This window comes from Homo sapiens, chromosome 18, assembly GCF_000001405.40.
Source record: "Homo sapiens chromosome 18, GRCh38.p14 Primary Assembly".
NCBI lineage: Eukaryota > Metazoa > Chordata > Mammalia > Primates > Hominidae > Homo > Homo sapiens.
The window spans coordinates 79,817,724-79,837,890 of NC_000018.10; the positions used below are offsets into that span (position 1 = coordinate 79,817,724).

Consider the following 20,167-nt stretch of genomic DNA (forward strand, 5'->3'; position numbering starts at 1 on the left):
TCAGCTGCCCCTCGGTGGGAAAGCATGGTTTTTAGCCACAACCTCCTGTGGCCTCACAGCTTTGGTGGGCCCCACGTCGCCTTCCCCACTCACTCTCAGACCCTCGGACCTGACTGTGAGGACCCCTCTCTCATTCCTGGTTTGAGCCCGTGGAAGCCCAGGTCTCGGGGTGGGGGTGCCCTGAGGGTGCTGTGAGGTGGTGAATTGGGCTCTTTCCTGAGGTGCATGGGTGCAGAGAAAGGGGACACCCTACTGGACCTGCCACCCAAGGGCTCAGGGTGGGTGCTGCCTCCTCGCCAGGTGGGCAGGAGCCTGCCCCTCGCCCCAGGACAGACGGCCAAGGCCCTAGGCAGAACACAGACCCTGAGGCAGCACCTTCAGGCCAGGAAGAACGAGCCACAGAGGGTGGGTGTGGTGCCTGTCCTGGATCCATGTGTGGCTGCTGTGGCCACCCGGGAGAGGCAATGCGATCTAATAAGGAAGCTTGACTCATCAGATCGGGAGACACCACCCCCACCCTCCTCCCAGAAGGAGGCACAGATGGAAACAGCTGAGTGAGACCCCAGAGACCAGGTCACACTCGGGTGAGGAGCCCAAGAGGGGCGTGGAGGCTGGAGGCCCGGCCCATGCCCACCTTGGCCAGCCCGCGAGAGATGCGCCAGGGTCGACTGCAGACTCTCAGCCAGCCCCAGGGCGGCCCCTCCCTCCTCCCCCGCTGCCTGGCCCCCTCGATTTTTCTAGCAAATAAGCAACAGCACGTCAGGAAACTATCTTAACTGAGAATTATGTTCCTGAGACAGGTGATGAAGCTATTTTTAGAAGTCTGTCACAGTTAAATTCTATAAAAATTAAATGACCCCAGCCCATCAGTCGGGTCACCATGTATGACAGTCCCTCCCGCCAGCATCTCCGATGCGGAAACTGCTCGTTCAAGGGCTGGGCACTCTCTGGTCTGAAGATTTAGGATTAATAAGGAACCGCCCAGAAATCAGTTCGTACCTGCGAGAGACGTCCGTGTCCTGAGGCAGAAATGACTGGGAGGCACTTTCCAGCAGGGTGCTCCGTGGGGGCTTTGGGGCTGCTTTAGGGGAGACTCATTCCCAGGCAGCAAAGGGGGCCCCTGGCAGCTCCAGCCACCAGAAGCACCCGGCAGCCATGAAGAGCCGAAGGTCCGCAGGTCTGGCCGAGCACTGAGCTCGCCTGTGAGATGCGGCCATTGGTGACTAATGTCCGAGAGGCATCAGGACTCGACACAGTGCCCAGTTCTGCTGGGGGCTCCACAAACATTTGCGTGTTGAATGAGAAAACAGACATCTAAGAATAGCATCAGGAGATGAAAAAAACAAAAATAAGGGAAGAAGAAAGAGCAGAGAGACTCGTTCCGCAACAGCAGAGGAGGCAGCAGCTCCACGGTAGCTATGGGGTGATAGGACCCCTCTCACTGCTCACCAAGGCCGGCGAGGGCACCCAGGACGTGTCAGAGGGAGAAGGCCGGCAGCCTGCAGAGACACCAGGCAGGCCCTACCCGGGTGCAGCCCAGGACACCACGGAGCAGCTCAGGCGGGCCAGCCTCAGCCCAGCTGGCACAGGGAGGGCAGCCTCACCAACCGAGGGACCCTTCCTGGTGGCTGTACGGGTGAGGCTGAGCCTCAGGGCACAGATTTGGGGGTCTCTAGGGAGAGCTGTTGCTGCCAGGCCTGGGGTCCCCACAGCACCTGTCCCACCTGGCACCACCCTGGGCACCGGACCCTCCTGGCAGAAGGCATGCAGCTGGCACTCAGTGTCCCTTCAGATCGGGCTGTGTTGGGCCTGGGTGTCACCCATGGACAATGTTCACGCCGCGGGGTTTGTGTGAGCCCCGTCCTCCCTACAGGTGAGCTGAGCGCTCAGCCAAGGACCCGGCCAGGCCTCACAGCCAGCAGGCTGCAATAGAGGCCGTCCACCTCCCCTACGGCTCCTCGGTGTGACTGGGGTAAAATACACATCACCTAAGGTATTCCATTTTAACTATTTCAAGTGGACAGTTCAGTAGCATGAATTCCAACCGCCGTGCTGTGCAGGCATCACCACTTTTTGCCAAATTCTTCCATTGCCCTCAACAGGAAATCTGTAACCACTAAGCAGTAACTCCCCCATAGTGCCACCTCCAACCCCTGGTAAGGTCCACTCTGCTTTCTCTATGAACCCCGCTATTCTAGGGATTTCATGTAGGTGAATCACACAGTGCTGGTCCTCCAGTGTCCAGCTTCTCTCACTCAGCATAACGCTCTCCAGCTCCAGCCGCGCTCCGAGGAGGAGCTCCTTCCTTCTCCGAAGGAGGTGCGTGTCAGAACCTCCTCCTATTCTGTGTCTGGGCAGTGCCCTCGTGCAGGGTACCCCACACTGTGTGCGTCCACCCTCTGTTGGCGACACGTGGGCTGTCCCCATCATTTGGCTAATGGGACTGATGCTGCTCTGAACGTCGGCGCTTGTATCCTCTGTTTGAGTCCCTGTTTTCACTTCCTCCCCACCTTTTGGCTAATGGGGCTGATGCGGCTCTGAATGTCAGCACATGTATCCTGTTTGAGTTCCTGTTTTCACTTCCTCCAGGCATGTTCTTAGGAGGGAAATGCTGAGCCAGATGTTGATGCTGCTGCTTAACTTTTAGAGAGTCTGCCAAACTTCCACAGCAGCTGAGCCATTTTCCCATCGGCAATCCTGAGGGGTCCAGTATCTCCCATCCTCACCAGCACTCAGGATGGTCTGTCTTTCTTATTACAGCCATCCTGGCAGATGTGAAGCGATAGCTCATATCTGCATTTTCCTAATGATGAGTGATGCTGAGCATCTTTTCATCTGCTTGCCGGGCATGTGTGCATCTTCTTTGGAGAAAAGTCTGTTCAAATGGGTACAATGTACATTTTTTAAAAAAAGGCTATTCAAGTTCTTTGCCCATTTTATTTACTTATTTATTTAGAGACAGGGTCTCACTCTGTTGTCCAAGCTGGAGTGCAGAGGTGCAATCAGCCTCAACCTCCTAGGCTCAAGCAATCCTCCCACCTCAGCCCCTGGAGCAGCTGGGACTCCAGGCATGCACCACCACACCCAGCTAATTTTTGTATTTTTTGTAGAGAGAGGGTCTCGCTATGTTGCCAGGCTGATCTCAAACTCTTGGACTCAAGTGATCCTCCCACCTCAGCCTCCCAACGTGCTGGGATTACAGGTGTGAGCCACCATGCCTAGCCCCTTTGCCCATTTTTAGATTTGGTTGTTTGTCTTTAGTTACTGAGTTAGAGAAACTCATTATATGTTCTTGATATTAAGCCCTTATCAGATATGTGATTTGCAAATATTTTCCCCCAGTCTGTGGGCTTTCATTTTGTTGATAGTGTCCTCGGATGCACAGAAGTTTTTAATTTGAATGAAGCTCAGTTGATCTATTTTTATTTTGTTGCCTGTGCTTTTGATGTCATTTAAGCAACCATTGCCAAATCCAACATCATGAAGATTTGACCACATGTTTTATTCTAAGAGTTTTATAGTTTTATCTGTAAATTTTGGCCGTCAACCCATTTTTACTTGAATTTTTTTTTTTTTTTTTTTTTTGACAGAGCCTGGCTCTTGTCACCCAGGCTGGAGCACAGTGGCGCAATCTTGGCTCACGGCAACATCTGCCTCCCAGGTTCAAATGATTCTCCTGCCTCAGCCTCCCAAGTAGCTGGGATTACAGGCACCCACCACCACACCCAGCTAATTTATGTATTTTTAGTAGAGACGGGGTTTCACCATGTTGGCCAGGCTGGTCTCAAACTCCTGACCTCAGGTTGTCCACCCGCCTCGGCCTCCCAAAGTGCTGGGATTACAGGCGTGAGCCACCACGCCTGGCCTTTTACTTGAATTGTGTATATGGGGTGGGGTAGGGCTCAGCTGCACCCTTTTGTGTGAGCACATCCCCATCTTCCTGGTGCCATTTACTAGGAAGGGCCTCCTTCCTGAATTAAATGGTCCTGGCACTCTTTTCCCAAAATCACTTGATCATAGGTGTAGGGCTCATCTCTGGGCGTCCTGCTCCGCCCTCAACTGCCCTGTCTGTCCACAGGCCAGGCCATGCATCTTGATCGCCATAGCTTGGCAGCACCTTTGAGATTGGAAGTGTGAGGCCTCTATCATTGCCCTTCTTTTTCAAAATTGTATTGACTATTCGTGGTCCGTTAAGACTCCATATGAATTTTAGGACGGGCTTTTTCATTTCTGCAAAAAAGCACTGTTTTTTGTAGGCCATTCTAGAAGTGGGCTGAGTGAATGTGCCAGATGGGTTTGTTGTGAGGAAATCCCAGCACTGATATTTGGGGCTGGGATGTGAAGGCTTCAGTAAAACTTGTCAAATTCAGACTCAAGGTGCCTTTTGTACCATTGTCCTGGGGTTTAAGCAGGAAATGTTAGATTTTTAAAAGCTTTTTATTTGAACGATTTTTAGACTTATAGGAAAGTTGCAGATTCATAGAGGTTCCCATGTCTCCCACCCAGCTTCCTCCAGTGTTGGCAGAATGGTCCAGACCAGGGATTCCCACTGGCCCCGCCCTGGTCACTACTTTAAAACCCCACTCAGATGTCACCGCGTTCTTCATACTAGAGCCACGGTTCTGTCCAGGGCCCCTCACCATCGTTCCCATCATCCGTCTGTAATAGCTCTCCAGTTTGTTTTTCGTTTTTGTTTTTCACAATATTGATACTTTTTAAAGTTATTATTTTTTTGAGACAGGGTCTCACTCTGTCCCCCAGGCTGGAGTGTAGTGTTGCAGTCATGGCTCCCTGCAGCCTCAGCCTCCAGGGCTCAAGCATCCTCCCACGTCAGCCTCCCGAGTAGCTGGGGCCACAGGCGTGAGCCACCATGCCTGGCTAATTTTTGTAGAGATGGGGGTCTCGCTGTGTTGCCCCGGCAGGTCTTGAACTCCTGACCTCAAGGGATCCACCCACCCCGGCCTCCAAAGTGCTGAGATCACAGGTGTGAGCACCGTGCTGGGCCTTCAAACGTGTGCTGTGCTCACCCCGAGAGACTGGAGCCTGCTGCGTGTGGCTCTTCTAGTCTTTAGCCTCCGGATTTCATGGAAACACATTTTCCACAATTACCTGGGAGAGCCCTTGTCTCCCCACGCTTCCGTGGGGTTGTGGATTCCTTGTGAGGCACCTGGGCTTATCGTGGGCGTTGGTGTTGCGTGTGGGTGTGGCTCACTTGTGGCATGTGAAGAGCGTGTGGAGCACCCCAAGGCTTTAGGAGTCACTGCCTCTGGAAGGCCCTTCCCACCTCCCTCCATGGGGAGACAGCCTTAGTTTCTGTTCATCCTCCTCTGTTCCTCCTGCACAGCCAGGCAGGCACCTGTGCATTTCAGCTGGCCCCTGTCTTACACCATGGGTGGCAAATCTCTGCCTTTCTTCTCACTTTGCCTTCTCACTTAATGTCCTGGAAGTCATCTCGTGGCAGGCCTTACAGACCTTCCTCCTTCCGGCACGTGCCCCACCGTGTAGACACCCGCGTTTACTCAGCGACCTTGCTCTGTGCGGGCACTGGGCTGTTTCCAGGGTTTTGCCATCTCCACCTGTGCTGCTGTGAACACCACATGTGGACCTTTTCATCTCTGCAGGGTTGACTCCCAGAATTGGGGTTGCACAGAGGTCATTAGCCAGCCGGATGTTGCCACATTCCTCCCTCCTGAGAGCTGTGCCCCGTGTCGAGCGCTGTTTGCTCACAGCCAGGCCAGGGGTTGTGGTAGGATTTTTAAATTTTTGCCAGTCTCATGGGTGAGAAATGGTATCTCAGTATTGTTTTAATCTGCACTTCTCTGATTACGAGTGTGCTTGAACATGTTTTCCATACGTGTGAGAGTCATTTTTATCTTTTGTGAATGGCCTGTTCATGTGTTTCCCCATTTCTCGATGGGGTTTTTGGTCCTTCACCCCCTGATGTTTAAGAGTTCATGCTATATGAGTTTTTCCCCTTGTTGTTTTTCTTTTTCCACGTGTGCCCAGCTCTTTATGCACATTTGAACCTTAGTATCGACATGTCCAACTCCATAAAATAGCTTACCCTGTTTTACTGGGATTGAGTGGAACTGATGAGCTAACACCAAGAGGAAGCCACCTCCACAGCGCCAAGTCTCCTGTCCAGGAGCATGGCTCGCTTTCCATTTGTTCATGTTTACTTTCGTGTTTTAAATTTGTTCTTGTAAAAACAGTACACATTCCTTGTGAAATTTGTTCCTACATGTTTTTTTCCTACTGTAAATGGACTTTTTCTTTCATCAATTTAATTTAATTTTTGAGACAAGATCTCACTCTGTCACCCAGGCTGGAGTGCAGTGGCACGATCTTGGCTCACTGCAGCCTCCGCCCCCCAGGCTCAGATGATCCTCCCACCTCTCAGCCTCCCAAGTAGCTGGGACTACAGGCATCACCACATGTGGGTAACTTGTATTTTTTGTAGAGACAGGGTTTCGCCATTTTGCCCAAACTGATCTTGAACTCCTGGACTCAAGCGATCCCCCGACCTTGGCCTCCCAAAGTGTGGGATTACAGGCGTGAGCCTCGGTGCTTGGCCATAAATGGACTTTTCCAATGATTGTGTTCTTTGTTGTTTGTGTATAGGAAGGCTGTTGATTTTATAGCCTGCTACTTTTCTGAATTTTTTTATTCAATAAATAAGTTTTGTCATTGATTCTCTGGGATTTCCAAGTATAAGATGATCCTATCTGCAAAGAGAGACGGTTTCACCCCTTCTTTACCTGCTCTATGCTTCTGATTGATTTTTGCTGTCTAGTTTTATTCATTAATACCTCTCGTATAATGTTAAATATATCAGAGGTAGTGGGTATCCTTGTTTCTGATTGCCATGGAAATGCCTCTAGTGTTTCTCCATTAAGAGAGCGGCTTTAGAACTTAACACAGGCTGCCGGTGCTGGTGAAATACCCATCAACGCCCTGAGTATTCATCAAAGGCTGCTTGGTATCTATGGAGATGATTACATGACTTTTCTACCTAAATTTATTATTATGGTGCATGATGTTAATGGATTTCCTACCACTGAACCTACTTTGCACCTTCTGGAACAAATTCTACTTTGTCGCAGTATTTTTTTTTCTTAAGAGGCATTGAATTCTGTTTAATAATATTCCGTTTAGAATTTCTGCATTGGTATTGATGAGTGATATTGAACTTAAGTTTTCTTTCTTCTTATTATATTTGGTTTAAATATCAGTGTTTGCTTACTTCATAAAATGAACTAGAGAGCTTTCCTTCCTTCTCAATGTTCTGAAATAATTTGTAGAGCATGGAGACTATCTAGGCTTTATAATCTTGGGAGAATTCTCTGTAAACCTGTCGGGGCTTAGTGCTTTGATAGGACAGTCAGTAGTAACTTTCTGTTTCTTCAATGGAAATGGGTCTGCTGAAGTTTCTAACTCTCCTGGGACAGTTTTTGGTGTCTCTGTTTCCCGAGAACATCTGCACTTCCTCTGGGTTTTCAAATGTGTTTGCAAAGAGGACTGCACAGTGTCTCCTCTGATTGTTCAGTCTGTTTCAAACGTTACATTTCTTGAATATAATAATGTGGCTTTAAAAAAGAAAAAGGAAGACACTTGAAGAATGGGAAAATATCCCTAAGTCATCCTACAGCTATAAGCCTTGTTTTCAAAGCAGCACATCACAGACTCGTGTTTACCGTCAGTTTACGAAGAATGCGCTGATGTCTGGGTCCATAAAAATATCTTTCCTGTCCTTTTCTGCTGTTTGCTGACGAAATGCCTCTTCATAAAAAATAGCTTTAACGCCTGAGAGTTACAGAAGCTCCCCTCAGCGAGGAGTCTCAGAAACCACGGAGGTTTTACCAAGTCCCTGTCGGTGAACATCAACTTGACTGACGGGGCGCAAGCTTCAGGAGATGAAGTGTCAATAAGGATTAATACGAAGGTAGATCAATCACGCTGTCATTTCATAGGGCTTCAGTTTCTTTCTGTAAAAACCCGTCAGATGTGATTTTCCCTCTAAAATTAGAATCGTTTTTATTCCTTTTTCCAGTTACTAAAATTACCTGTATCGTCTGGGGGAAAATACAGAAGGACAGAAAAAAGAAAGTAAAAATCACCTGACCTGACCGTGCACTGTCAGCCTGTCTGTGGCCTTCCTTCCGGAAGTTTCTTTATGCGTCTGCCCATGGACGGCAGGTGGGAGCGCGGACACCTGTCGCCCTCTCGGCCGCTCTGGGACCTGCCCTTTCTTTGAAACGCTGTGTCCAGGGCATGACCCCCATAGAGACGTGGGCCTGGGTGGAGGCTGCAGCTTAAGAGGAAGCTCTCGGCGTCGGGGCCTGTGCCCTGCCGGCCGCCCTGACCTTGGAGGAAGCGGGCGCTGACACACTGTGGGCGACAGGAAGGGCCGGGAGCTCTGTGGCCGTTGGCAAGGCCAGGAACCCGGGTAGTCGAGCTGAAACTGTGATCTGAGGCGCGAGGCCTCCGTGGGAGAAGGGTCGCTTCAGACGGGGACCGAGGGCCTGGCTCTGGGAAGGTGGGTCCTGCTCCCTTCTGAGGCAGGCAGAGCTGCAGGGAAAGCAGGTGTGTGGAGGCCCCTCCAGAGCCAGGCTCCAGGCGCTTCAGGTACGGCGCCCGTTCTGCTCCCTTCCCAGGCCTGCCCAGCTGCCCACCGCACGAAGCTTCACAACTGAGCGAGCAGCTCCTCACGGAAGGTTAGATTCGGCGCGTTACGTCATTACGTTCAGTGAAAGAACTGAGTGAGCAGCTCCTCACGGAAGGTTAGATTCGGCGCGTTACGTCATTACGTTCAGTGAAAGAACTGAGTGAGCAGCTCCTCACGGAAGGTTAAGTTCGGCGCGTTACGTCATTACGTTCAGTGAAAACTGAGTGAGCAGCTCCTCACGGAAGATTACATTCGGCGCGTTACGTCATTACATCCAGTGAAAGAACTGAGTGAGCAGCTCCTCACGGAAGGTTAGTTCGGCGCGTTACGTCATTACATCCAGTGAAAGAACTGAGTGAGCAGCTCCTCACGGAAGGTTAGTTCGGCGCGTTACGTCATTACGTTCAGTGAAAGAACTGAGTGAGCAGCTCCTCACGGAAGGTTAGTTCGGCGCGTTACGTCATTACGTTCAGTGAAAGAAGGTGTGGGAGTGACTAATCACTTGTTTGATAAAATTGATTGAAAAAGAAATTACCAACTAAAAATTATAATTATTAAAATGTAAAAGTTTAATTACAGTTTCTAGGAAATTCGCCTTGGCTTCTGCCCGCTTTCTGTTCAGGACGCTGAGCTTTGCTGCTTGGTGCCTTGTGAGGACGTGGCGTCCCCGGCGATGCAGGGGCCGGGCCGCGCCAGCCTCTGTTGCTCCTCTATGGGGTGGTGACAGCCTCAGGCCTCCCTGGGGACAGGCTGGGGACTCCCAGATACTGAAGCTTAGCAGGTGCGCCCCCACATGGTCATGGAGCTGGGGCTCGGGCCAGACCAGCGACACCCTCCAGGCCTCAGTGGTCCTGTGTCCACCCCGGAGCCCCCAGGGCAGGAGATGTGGGTGGGATCCCTGCAGGAAACCGTGAGGGTTTCAAACTAAGCCTCCTTTCGTTTTCCCTGGCGGTGTCAGCATCGTGCCTCTAAAGAGTTCTGTTCCTTGGTCAGAGTTCCAGGTGAGATGCTATCTTAGGTAGGAGAGGTCATCTGGCCCCAGCCAGGGTTTCGGCCCCACCAGTGGGGCAGGGCCTGGGGACTGGTAGTTTAGCACAGCGGCTCTCAAACTTGTGGTGCTGGGAATTTTTAGGACCTCCAGCAGCCTGTGTTCCTGGAGGAAGGAGGGTGTGGCAGAGGCCCTGGAGTCCCAGTGTCTGAGAGGCCAGCAGAGGAGGGGCTCAGGATGGAGCGGGAAGCGCGGGGAGAAGAGCGGGGACTCAGCCTCCCCCCTGGATTTCGCTTCTTCTGAATGCAGGCCCTGGAACCCCGCTTATTACCCGCCCACCCAGTGCCGCAGCTCTGGAAATGCAGCTTGGTGGGCTGGACCCAAGTCTCTCCATGTGGCTCCATAGGAAAAATACTGATGCAAGTAACTACTTCAGAGACAAAAACAGTTTTAACAATGTACCAATTATAATCCTTTTACCTATATGTTTAAACAGAATTAGCAGTTAGAATTATACTGGAACATAATATTCTTTTTTCTTTCTTTCTTTCTTTTTTTTTTTTTTGAGATGTAGTCTCCCTCTGTTGCCCAGGCTGGAGTGCAGTGGCGTTGTCAAGGCTCACTGCAACCTCTGCCTCCCTGGTTCAAGTGATTCTTGTGCCTCAGCCTCCCAAGTAGCTCGGATTACAGGCACGCACCAACACACCCGGCTAATTCTTTGTATCTTTTGTAGAGATGGTGTTTCACCATGTTGGCCAGTCTGGTCTTGAACTCCTGACCCCAGGTGATCCGCCCACCTCGGCCTCCCAAAGTACTGGGATTACAGGCATGAGCCACTGCACCCAACATAATATTCTTAAAACTCTTAGACATACAGACATGTAGGAATACTTAAAGACATGACATGCGTGCGTGTGCATGTGCATATGTGTGCACACTGCGTCATTGCATGTCTGCCTGTGTCAGTGTGTGCATGAGTCTGTGTGTGCAGGTGTGTGTGTGTCTTAGTGTGCATGTGTCTGCATGTATCAGTGTGTGCATGTTTGGGTGCATCTGTGTGCAAGTGTGTGGTGTGTGTGCAAATGTGTGTCTGTGTGTGCATGAATGTGTGCATATGTGTCTACATGAGTCTGTGTAGTGTAACGTGTTTATGCATGTCTGTGTGTGCATCTGTGTGTCTATCTGTGTGCATGTCTGTGTGCATGTGTCTGCATGTGGGTGTGTGGATGTGTGTAACGTGTCTATGATGTGTTCATGTGTCTGTGTGTATGTCTGTGTGTGCCTGTGTGTGCATGTCTATGTGTGCGTGTGTCCGTCTACAGGAATTTGCGTGTGTGTAACATGTCCATGATGTGTGCATGTGTCTGTGTGTGGGTGTCTATGTGTGCGTGTGTGTAACGTGTCTGTGTGTGCATGTGTCTGTGTGTGGGTGTCTATGTGTGCGTGTGTGTAACATGTCCATGATGTGTGCATGTGTCTGTGTGTGGGTGTCTATGTGTGCGTGTATGTAACATGTCCATGATGTGTGCATGTGTCTGTGTGTGTCTATGTGTGCGTGTGTGTAACGTGTCTGTGTGTGCATGTGTCTGTATGTGGGTGTCTATGTGTGCGTGTGTGTAACATGTCCATGATGTGTGCATGTGTCTGTGTGTGGGTGTCTATGTGTGCGTGTGTGTAACGTGTCTGTGTGTGCATGTGTCTGTGTGTGGGTGTCTATGTGTGCGTGTGTGTAACATGTCCATGATGTGTGCATGTGTCTGTGTGTGGGTGTCTATGTGTGCGTGTGTGTAACATGTCCATGATGTGTGCATGTGTCTGTGTGTGGGTGTCTATGTGTGCATGTGTGTGTAACGTGTCTGTGTGTAATGTGTCTGCGTGTGTGTCTGTGTGTGCATGTGTCTGTGTGTGTGTCTGCATGTATCTGTGTGTGTGTCTGTGTGTACATGTGTCTGTGTGTGTCTTGTGTGTCTGTGTGTGTATCTGCACGTGTCACTCCCTGGTGACCAAGTACCTGCCCCTTCTCTGTTGCATCATTCATGGCCCGTGTTTCTCAGGTGATTGTTTTTTACTTGAAGTGAGTCAAGTAGCTGGTCAGCCTCTGCCTCCCTATGGCTTGTGGGTCTTTGCCTCACACCAGTCCGTCTCTGCCTCCCTACGGCCGGTGGGTCTCTGCCTCACATCGGTCCGTCTCTGCCTCCCTATGGCTGGTCAGTCTCTGCCTCACACCGGTCCTTCTCTGCCTCTCTACAGCTGGTCGGACTCTGCCTCACACCGGTCAGCCTCTGCTTCCCTGTGTCCGGTGGGCCTCTGCCGCCATCTCTACACTGTACTGGCTGTTTGGGGGCTCCACTTGGGCTCAGGGCCTGTGTGGAAAGCTGGTGCCGGGGCAGCTCACACCCAGGGCAGCCTGGTTGGCCTTAAGACAGGGGCCTTGTGTCTGAGCCTCCAGGTCATCGTTCTTACATTTCAGGGTGTGATACTCCCATCTGTCTAACTTGTTAGGAAAAGGCAGAGAGGAGATAAGAAAAAGGTACCAATTCTGCGAAGCTATTATGTTTTCATTTGTCTTGTCAAAGCCTTGCACTTGGAGATTCTGTGCTTTTGTGGAGGAGAGTGGGGATGCTGTCTGAGAAAAAGGCACAAACCATCACGCTATGATTAAATTGGTCATGGGAATAAATAGAAAGTGTTCCCCCTGAAGTAGGAGTTCTTAACCTAGGACTGGTGGGTCCACGTGGCCACGAGTAGATTCTGCAGGTCCACGGAGCCCAGTGGAACCCAGGTGTGTGGTTGTGGACCTGTTGTGAGAAGACGAATCGTGTCCATCTGCTAAGGGTTCATGGTCCATCCCAGGTCAACACACCTCCCCTGAAAGCAGAACGTGACGTGTTGTTTCAGGGGTTTGAGAAGTGCTGGCAGGGTTCTTACAGGATGGCACCATTTGAAAGGGGCGCCTGTGACGAGCCCCACACCAGACAGCCCGGTGGCAGGAAACATGTCTGCAAGGGAGGCCTCCAGCCAGAGCTCACTGGGACATCATCTTTTCCAATTTAACTGTCACACTTAAAATACCTCAAAACACAGATACCTGCAAAAACATTTATTCCTCAGCTTACATAAACGGCAGGTGGTGTTCAAAGTAGGAAGGGTGATGGAATGTGGGGAAAGAAGCAAAGGAAGGGCCTTTGGCCATGGGTCCCTCCAGAACCGCCCCAGCTCCAGAGGCCAGCGAGAGAGATGCCTCGAAGAGACTCCCGAGTGATGAGACCCCCAAGCATTCCCTGCGGACAGAGCCTTTGTCAGGAGGGTTCCCTGCAGACAGAGCCTTCGTCAGGAGGGTTCCCTGCAGACAGAGCCTTCGTCAGGAGGGTTCCCTGCGGACAGAGCCTTCGTCAGGAGGGTTCCCTGCGGACAGAGCCTTCGTCAGGAGGGTTCCCTGCATACAGAGCCTTCGTCAGGAGCGTTCTCTGCGGACAGAGCCTTCGTCAGGAGGGTTCCCTGCATACAGAGCCTTCGTCAGGAGGGTTCCCTGCGGACAGAGCCTTCGTCAGGAGGGTTCCCTGCGGACAGAGCCTTCGTCAGGAGGGTTCCCTGCGGACAGAGCCTTCGTCAGGAGGGTTCCCTGCGGACAGAGCCTTCGTCAGGAGGGTTCCCTGCGGACAGAGCCTTCGTCAGGAGGGTTCCCTGCGGACAGAGCCTTCGTCAGGAGGGTTCCCTGCGGACAGAGCCTTCGTCAGGAGGGTTCCCTGCGGACAGAGCCTTCGTCAGGAGGGTTCCCTGCGGACAGAGCCTTCGTCAGGAGGGTTCCCTGCGGACAGAGCCTTCGTCAGGAGGGTTCCCTGCGGACAGAGCCTTCGTCAGGAGGGTTCCCTGCGGACAGAGCCTTCGTCAGGAGGGTTCCCTGCGGACAGAGCCTTCGTCAGGAGGGTTCCCTGCGGACAGAGCCTTCGTCAGGAGGGTTCCCTGCGGACAGAGCCTTCGTCAGGAGGGTTCCCTGCGGACAGAGCCTTCGTCAGGAGGGTTCCCTGCGGACAGAGCCTTCGTCAGGAGGGTTCCCTGCGGACAGAGCCTTCGTCAGGAGGGTTCCCTGCGGACAGAGCCTTCGTCAGGAGGGTTCCCTGCGGACAGAGCCTTCGTCAGGAGGGTTCCCTGCGGACAGAGCCTTCGTCAGGAGCGTGCCCTGCGTACAGAGCCTTCGTCAGGAGCGTGCCCTGCGTACAGAGCCTTCGTCAGGAGCGTGCCCTGCGTACAGAGCCTTCGTCAGGAGCGTGCCCTGCGGACAGAGCCTTCGTCAGGAGGGTTCCCTGCGGACAGAGCCTTCGTCAGGAGGGTTCCCTGCGGACAGAGCCTTCATCAGGAGGGTTCCCTGCGGACAGAGCCTTTGTCAGGAGCGTTCCCTTCATACAGAGCCTTTGTTAGGAGGAGAGCCTCCTTCAGGATGTGCCGTCCTCCCACCCCCACCCTTACCTGGCGGGCGGCCTAGGTGGTTGTCTCCTGGGTGCTTTGTAGAACCCTGATTTGGAGCAGCACTCACATCCCAGCTTGGGCTCTTCTCCTTCGCTGTGACCTCCACCTGGGAGTTGGAATGCAAGGAGCAGCCGTCAGAGCAAATGTCTAGAAAGGGCTGGGTGGATGCCCACCAGAAGTTTCTCCATAGCTAGGCACCCCCGGGCAGAGCAGGTGTCTGTGGCTTCCCCACACTCACCCACCGCCCCCTGGTTCTGAGCCTACTCCGAGGTACATCTATCCGCTGCTCATAGCTTGCCCGTCCTCACCCATGAGACCTCAGCTGCCCATCCTCACCTGCCCTTTCTCACCCCTCCTTCCTCACCTGCCCTTCCTCACCCCTCCTTCCTCACCTGCTCATCCTCACCCGTGAGACCTCACCTGCCCTTCTTCACCTGCCCTCACCTGCCCATCCTCACTGTCCTTCCTCAGCTGCCCGTCCTCACCTGCCCATCCTTACCTGCCCTTCCTCACCTGTCCATCCTCACCTGCACTCACCTGCCCATCCTCACCTGCTCTCATCTGTCCATCCTCACCTGCTCTCACCTGTCCATCCTTACCTGCTCATCCTCACCTGTCCGTCTTCACCTGCCCATCCTCACCTGCCCTTCCTCACCTGCCCAGGCCTCTTCCTTTTCAACCTTCTCTTCTACTTCCCTCCTCTATCTTCTCCCCACTCTCTTGCTGTTTTTTGAAACCCCACTCCTCCCTTCTTCTCCACTCTTTTCTGGTATTCATGAAACCTTGGAACTGGGAGAGCCGTGCAGATCATTCGCCCTGATTTCCAGAGGAGACCTGGGACTGCCCAGGCCACAGCCAGATCCTGCTCTCAGGACCCTCGGGCCACAGACTTTTCCAGCCTGTATGGCAAGACTCCTCTTTGCACAGTGCTAAGCAGCCTTAGAAGAGTGTTACATGCTTCAACGTGTTCTCAGAAGTAGATACAATCTCTCCTGTGGCTCCTCTGGGAGGGCTCCTGCGTCTGCTCCTTAAGCCCCTGGCACCTTAAGGTAGATCACGGTGAGCCTTGGAGTATAAACGGCTGGGACGTCCTTGCTGTCTGCTCCCCTGCTATGAGCCTGGGCTGCACCCAGTCTCCAAGGAAAGTAGCCTGGTTTCCTTTAAAATTGGCAATGAAGGATATTTTATAACTTTTTTTGAAATTTGTATAATTTTTTCTTATTACTTCAGTGTTCCTCAAGCTCTATAATTAAGAATGTCTTACCATCTAACCTAAATCTCTCTTGCTACAGGGTTTTTTTTGTTTTTTTGAGATGGTGTCTCACTCTGTAACCCAGGCTGGGGTGCAGTGGTGCGATCTTGGCTTACTACAGCCTTGACCTCCTGGGATCAAGCAATCCCCCCATCTCAGCCTCCAAAATAGCTGGGACTACAGGTGTGTGCTACCACACCTGGCTAATTTCTTGTTTATTTTTTTGTAGAGACAAAAATCTCACTATGTTGCCCTGGCTGGTCTCAAACTCCTGGGCTCAAGTGATATGCCTGCCTCAGCGTCCCAACGTGCTGGGATTATGGGCATGAGCCACTGTACCCTGCCTCTTACTGCAGTTTGATTTGACTGTTATAGTTGTTGGTAATTTTAGTTGTGATTTTAATTGTTTTTCTTTCAATTGCATGTTGTTAGCATCATGTCTGAGAAGTAAGAAATCAGAAAGTATAAGTTCATAGAACAAAACCTGCAAGTTTATAGAACAAAGCCCAAATCTCTTTGGCTATGACAGTTTCAAAGAACAAACCTTTGCTGCAACGTCATTTCCACGGATAAACAAGGCTAAGTCCAAATATGTGGTATAAATGCATGGATAATGAACAAATGAACATCAGTAATTAGGTGGTGCCCAGTGTGGCAGCATCTGGCTGGCTGCTGTGATGGGAAGTGTTGCAACAGCGAGTTTGTGTGTGTTCAAGCTGCAGCCTGGGCTTTTGTGGCAAAGTGTGGCCAAACTCTGCTCTGAGCCAGTTCTGCTGAGTGCGCCGGGAAGAGAAAGGCCAAGGGTGGCGATCCTTGCTAGAGGGTCAGAGTTGTGCACATCTGGCCACAGATGCTCTGGGCAGCACAGCTCCTGAGACAGGGCAGCCCAGGCCAGTAACGTGCAGGGCAGTGCCTCTCTGGCCAGGGGACGGTGGGCTGAGGAGGCCACCCAGTGCAGTGGCAGAGGGCGGTGCTTCCCGTGGTTTACCTTTAAAACCCCTTCACGTTAAAGCGTGTCGAGGTCGGTATCAGTGAAGGTGAGCTGGTGACCTGCAGCAAGAGCCCCAGCCAGCGTCAGAGCGGCTTGGACCAAAGATCAGGCTGCAGAACCCTGATAAAGACCCGTTTGCCTCGGCGGCACCAGCACTGAGCAAACGTCCTGTCCTCCGACGTGGCAAATGGGGGTTTTCTTTCTTTTGTTATTGACTCATGTTTTACAATAGGTTGCAGCCATTATGGTTTTAGACTCTCAGTTTCTGGGAGGACATCTTTTGTGCTGGCCACATGCTTCTGACACACACCCATCCATCATTTCCGGTACAAGGCCTCAGGTCTCACCCACACTTTGTTGGGGTGATCAGACCCAACACCAGGTCATGGGCGACAAAGTCCGGCAGAGTCAAAGGAATGAGAAAAAGACAGTTTGAGAGAGAAAGTGGGACCGGGGTCCACCGAGCTCTGGGAGCCCACGCTATTTAATGGTACTCAAACAAACAAACAAACAGCTGGTGGGGATGTGGGGTTTAAAAGGAAACCAGTGTATCAAGTGAATGAGAGACCTATGGCTGCTTGAGATAATGGGAGTGCTAGAAGCAAGAAGCCAGCAAGTCTAGCAGACATGCAAGCCCTGCCTCAGCTTCTCTCCCAACACTCAGCTTTTCTCCCAACAGACTTCCTTGTCAGGAGTCAGCCACTCTCCCACAGGAAACATTCTTGAGCAGGAGGAGCTGGTTCCTGATGGCTGAGTGCACCTTCAGTGGAGAAGGCACATCACCGAATAAACTCAGGAGCCATGCTGGGTGTGTTCACATCCAGTCCTCTGGCCAATGGAGTATTTCCCTCTTGTTTATACTGAGTCTGTCTAACAGAACCGTCTGTGCCACCCACACCCATGGTGTCGGCCACCCATATGGGGAGCAGTAACAAGACACACCCACCCCTCCCAGCCAGGGACGTGTCTGTAGAGAGATGTGGGGAGTAGGAACCCCCATCCCGACCCACTGGTAATGAGGAGCCCTCCCTCACCATGGATGTCAACAGAAGCCTCTTGGGGAATGTGCACTTCTGTCCCCACTGCCAGCAGAGGTGTTGTCTCTCTCCCCCCTGCCAGAGCAGGGCCAAAGGAAGCCAACCGCAGCAGAGCCAGCATCTGAGAGGCTCAAAATGTCTAGGTTTCCATGGAAATCAGCCCTCATACCAAGAGCCAGAAAGATTTCGAATTTGGTGAAAAGGACAGTCAACGGCCATTGACACCAACACTAAGATGATAGTAATGTCGAAATTATTGGGCACAGATTTTAAAACAGCCGTTGTAAAAATACTTCAGTGGACAATTACAAACATGCTTGAAACAGATGAGAAATAGTCTCAGCAAAGGAATAGAAGATATAAAATAAAACCAAATGGGAATTTTAGATGTAAAAATACAATAAATGGAATGGGAAACTCAATGGATAGGTTCAGTGGTAGACGGAGTAGACGTATAAAAGAGTCAGTGAACTGGAAGGTAGAATGGTAGAGGGGAAACATGATGAGGAAAATGTGAGTAAATGCAATAGACTTTCCTTCTCCACGTGAGTTTTCTGAATTGCTCGATGGTGGGAGTAAAGATTGTGAAAATTCCTGATGTGGCTCTAAGGCAGGTAGAGGGATGTGTAAGACTATTATTTACAGATGGGATGTGGGACATATAAAGGAAAGTGATGGCTCTACACTTCACTTGAACTGGTAAAATAACACCAGTGGACCATGACAGGTTGTGTGTGTATAATGTAATACCTAGAACAGATACAAAAAACACAAGAGATAAATCAAAATAGAATTGTCAAATAGTGAAGTAATCCACAGGGAAACATGAAGAAGAAAACAGAAATAAAGAACAGAGAACAGAAAACAGTACAAAATGGAAGATTAAAGTCCTAACATACAAATAATTTTAGTAGGTGTAAATTGTGTAAACAAAACAAAAATCAACTAAAAAGAGACATTGGCAGAGTGGGTTTAAAAGCATGACCCAATGATAAGCAGTCCACAAGAAAGTCACTTCAAATATAACAATATAGGCAGGTTGAAAATAAAAGGAGACAAAAAGATACATCGTGTAAACATTAATCAAAAGAACGTTGTTGTGGCTATATTTGTATTTGATAAGGTAGACTTCAAGGTAAATAATGTTACCAGAGACAGAGGAGAAACGTTATGTAAAAATGAAGGATCTAAGAGGACATAGCAATTCTAATGTATATGCACAAACAACAGAGCTGCAAAATATGTGAACCAAAGGATGACAGAGTTTAAAGTAGAAACATTCACAGTTGTGGTTGGAGATAACATCATCATCCAACAGATCTATTTGATATTTAAAGGATACTTCACTCAACAAAAGGAGAATATTCCTTTTTCTTGAGGTAACCATGAAACATATACCAAAGTTGTGTTAGTCCATTTTCACACTGCTATACAGAACTACCTGAGACTGGGTAATTTATGAAGAAAAAAGGTTGAATTGACTCACAGTTCCACATGGCTGGGGAGGCCTCAGGAAACTTACAATCATGGCGAGAGGTAAAGGAGAAGCAAGACCTTCTTCACATGGCTGCAGGAGAGAGAGAGTGAGTGAAGGGGAAGTGCCACACTTTTAAACCATGAGTCCTTGTAAGAACTCACTCACTATCATGAGAACAGCATGAGGGAAACCAACCCCGTAATCCAATCACCTCCCACCAGATCCCTCCCTCAACACATGAGGATGACAATTCAAGCTGAGATTTGAGTAGAGACACAGAGCCTAACCATATCAATTCAGCCCTGGCCCCTCCCAAATCTCATGTCCTCACATTTTAACACAATCATGGCTTCCAAACAGTCCCCCACAGTCTGAACTCATTTCAGCATTAACCCAAAAGTCCAAGTGCAAAGTCTCAACTGAAATAAGACAAGTCCCTCCCACCTATGAACCTGTAAAATCAAAAGCAAGTTAGATACTTCCAAGATAAAGTGGAGGAACAGACATCGGGTAAATGCTCCCATTCCAAATGGGAGAAATTGGCCAAAAAAGGGGGCCACAGGTCCCATGCAAATCCAAAACCCAGCAGGTCAGCCATTAAATCTTAAGGCTCTGAGATGGTCTCCTTTGACTCCATGTCTCACATCCAGGTCACACTGATGCAAGAAGTGGGCTCCCATGGCCTTGGGCAGCTCTGCCCCTGTGGCTTTGCAGGGCACAGCCCCCATGGCTGCTTTCACTTGCTGGCTCTGAGTGATGGTGGCTTTTCCAGGCAGATGGTGCAAGCAGTTGGAGGATCTACCATTCTGGGGTCTGGAGGACAGTGGCCCTCTTCTCACAGCTCCACTAGGCAGTTCCCCAGTGGGGACTCTATGTGGGGCTCCAACCCCACATTTCCCCTCTGCTTTACTCTACTAGAGGTTCTCCATGAGAGAAAAATCATCTCAAGTTCAAAGGTCCACAGATCTCTACGGCAGGGGCAAAATGCCACTAGTCTCTTTGTGAAAGTATAGCAAGAATGACCCTACTGCAGTTCTTAATAAGTTCCTCATCTCCATCTGAGACCACCTTAGCCTGGACTTCATTGTCCATATCTCTATCAGTATTTTGGTCAAAACCATTTGACAAGTCTCTAGGATGTTCCAAACTTCCCCACATCTTCCTGTCTTCTTCTGAGCCCTCCAAACTCTTCCAACCTCTGCCCTTTACCCAGTTCCAAAGTTGTGTCCACATTTTCAAGTATCTTTGTAGCAGTGCCCCACTCCAGGTACCAATTTTCTGTATTAGTCC

The 20,167-nt window shown here is 50.6% G+C and overlaps 1 protein-coding gene across 1 annotated transcript in view, besides 2 other annotated features; it reads left to right on the top strand.

The window, feature by feature from the left end:
- The window catches only part of KCNG2 (potassium voltage-gated channel modifier subfamily G member 2), a 102,163-nt gene that overhangs the window by 19,786 nt on the left and 62,210 nt on the right, over positions 1 to 20,167 (top strand). The window lies entirely within an intron of this gene.
- Positions 2,175 to 2,314: an enhancer, noted in NCBI's record as "active region_13545". NCBI's record gives its function as "activates an Ori minimal core promoter by ATAC-STARR-seq in GM12878 lymphoblastoid cells {active_cell/tissue: GM12878}" and the evidence as "EXISTENCE:reporter gene assay evidence [ECO:0000049][PMID:35858748]".
- Positions 8,252 to 9,451: an enhancer, noted in NCBI's record as "BRD4-independent group 4 enhancer chr18:77585975-77587174 (GRCh37/hg19 assembly coordinates)". NCBI's record gives its function as "activates an origin of replication core promoter dependent on BRD2, P300/CBP, MED14 and CDK7 cofactors, and independent of BRD4, by STARR-seq in HCT116 cells {active_cell/tissue: HCT116}" and the evidence as "EXISTENCE:reporter gene assay evidence [ECO:0000049][PMID:35650434]".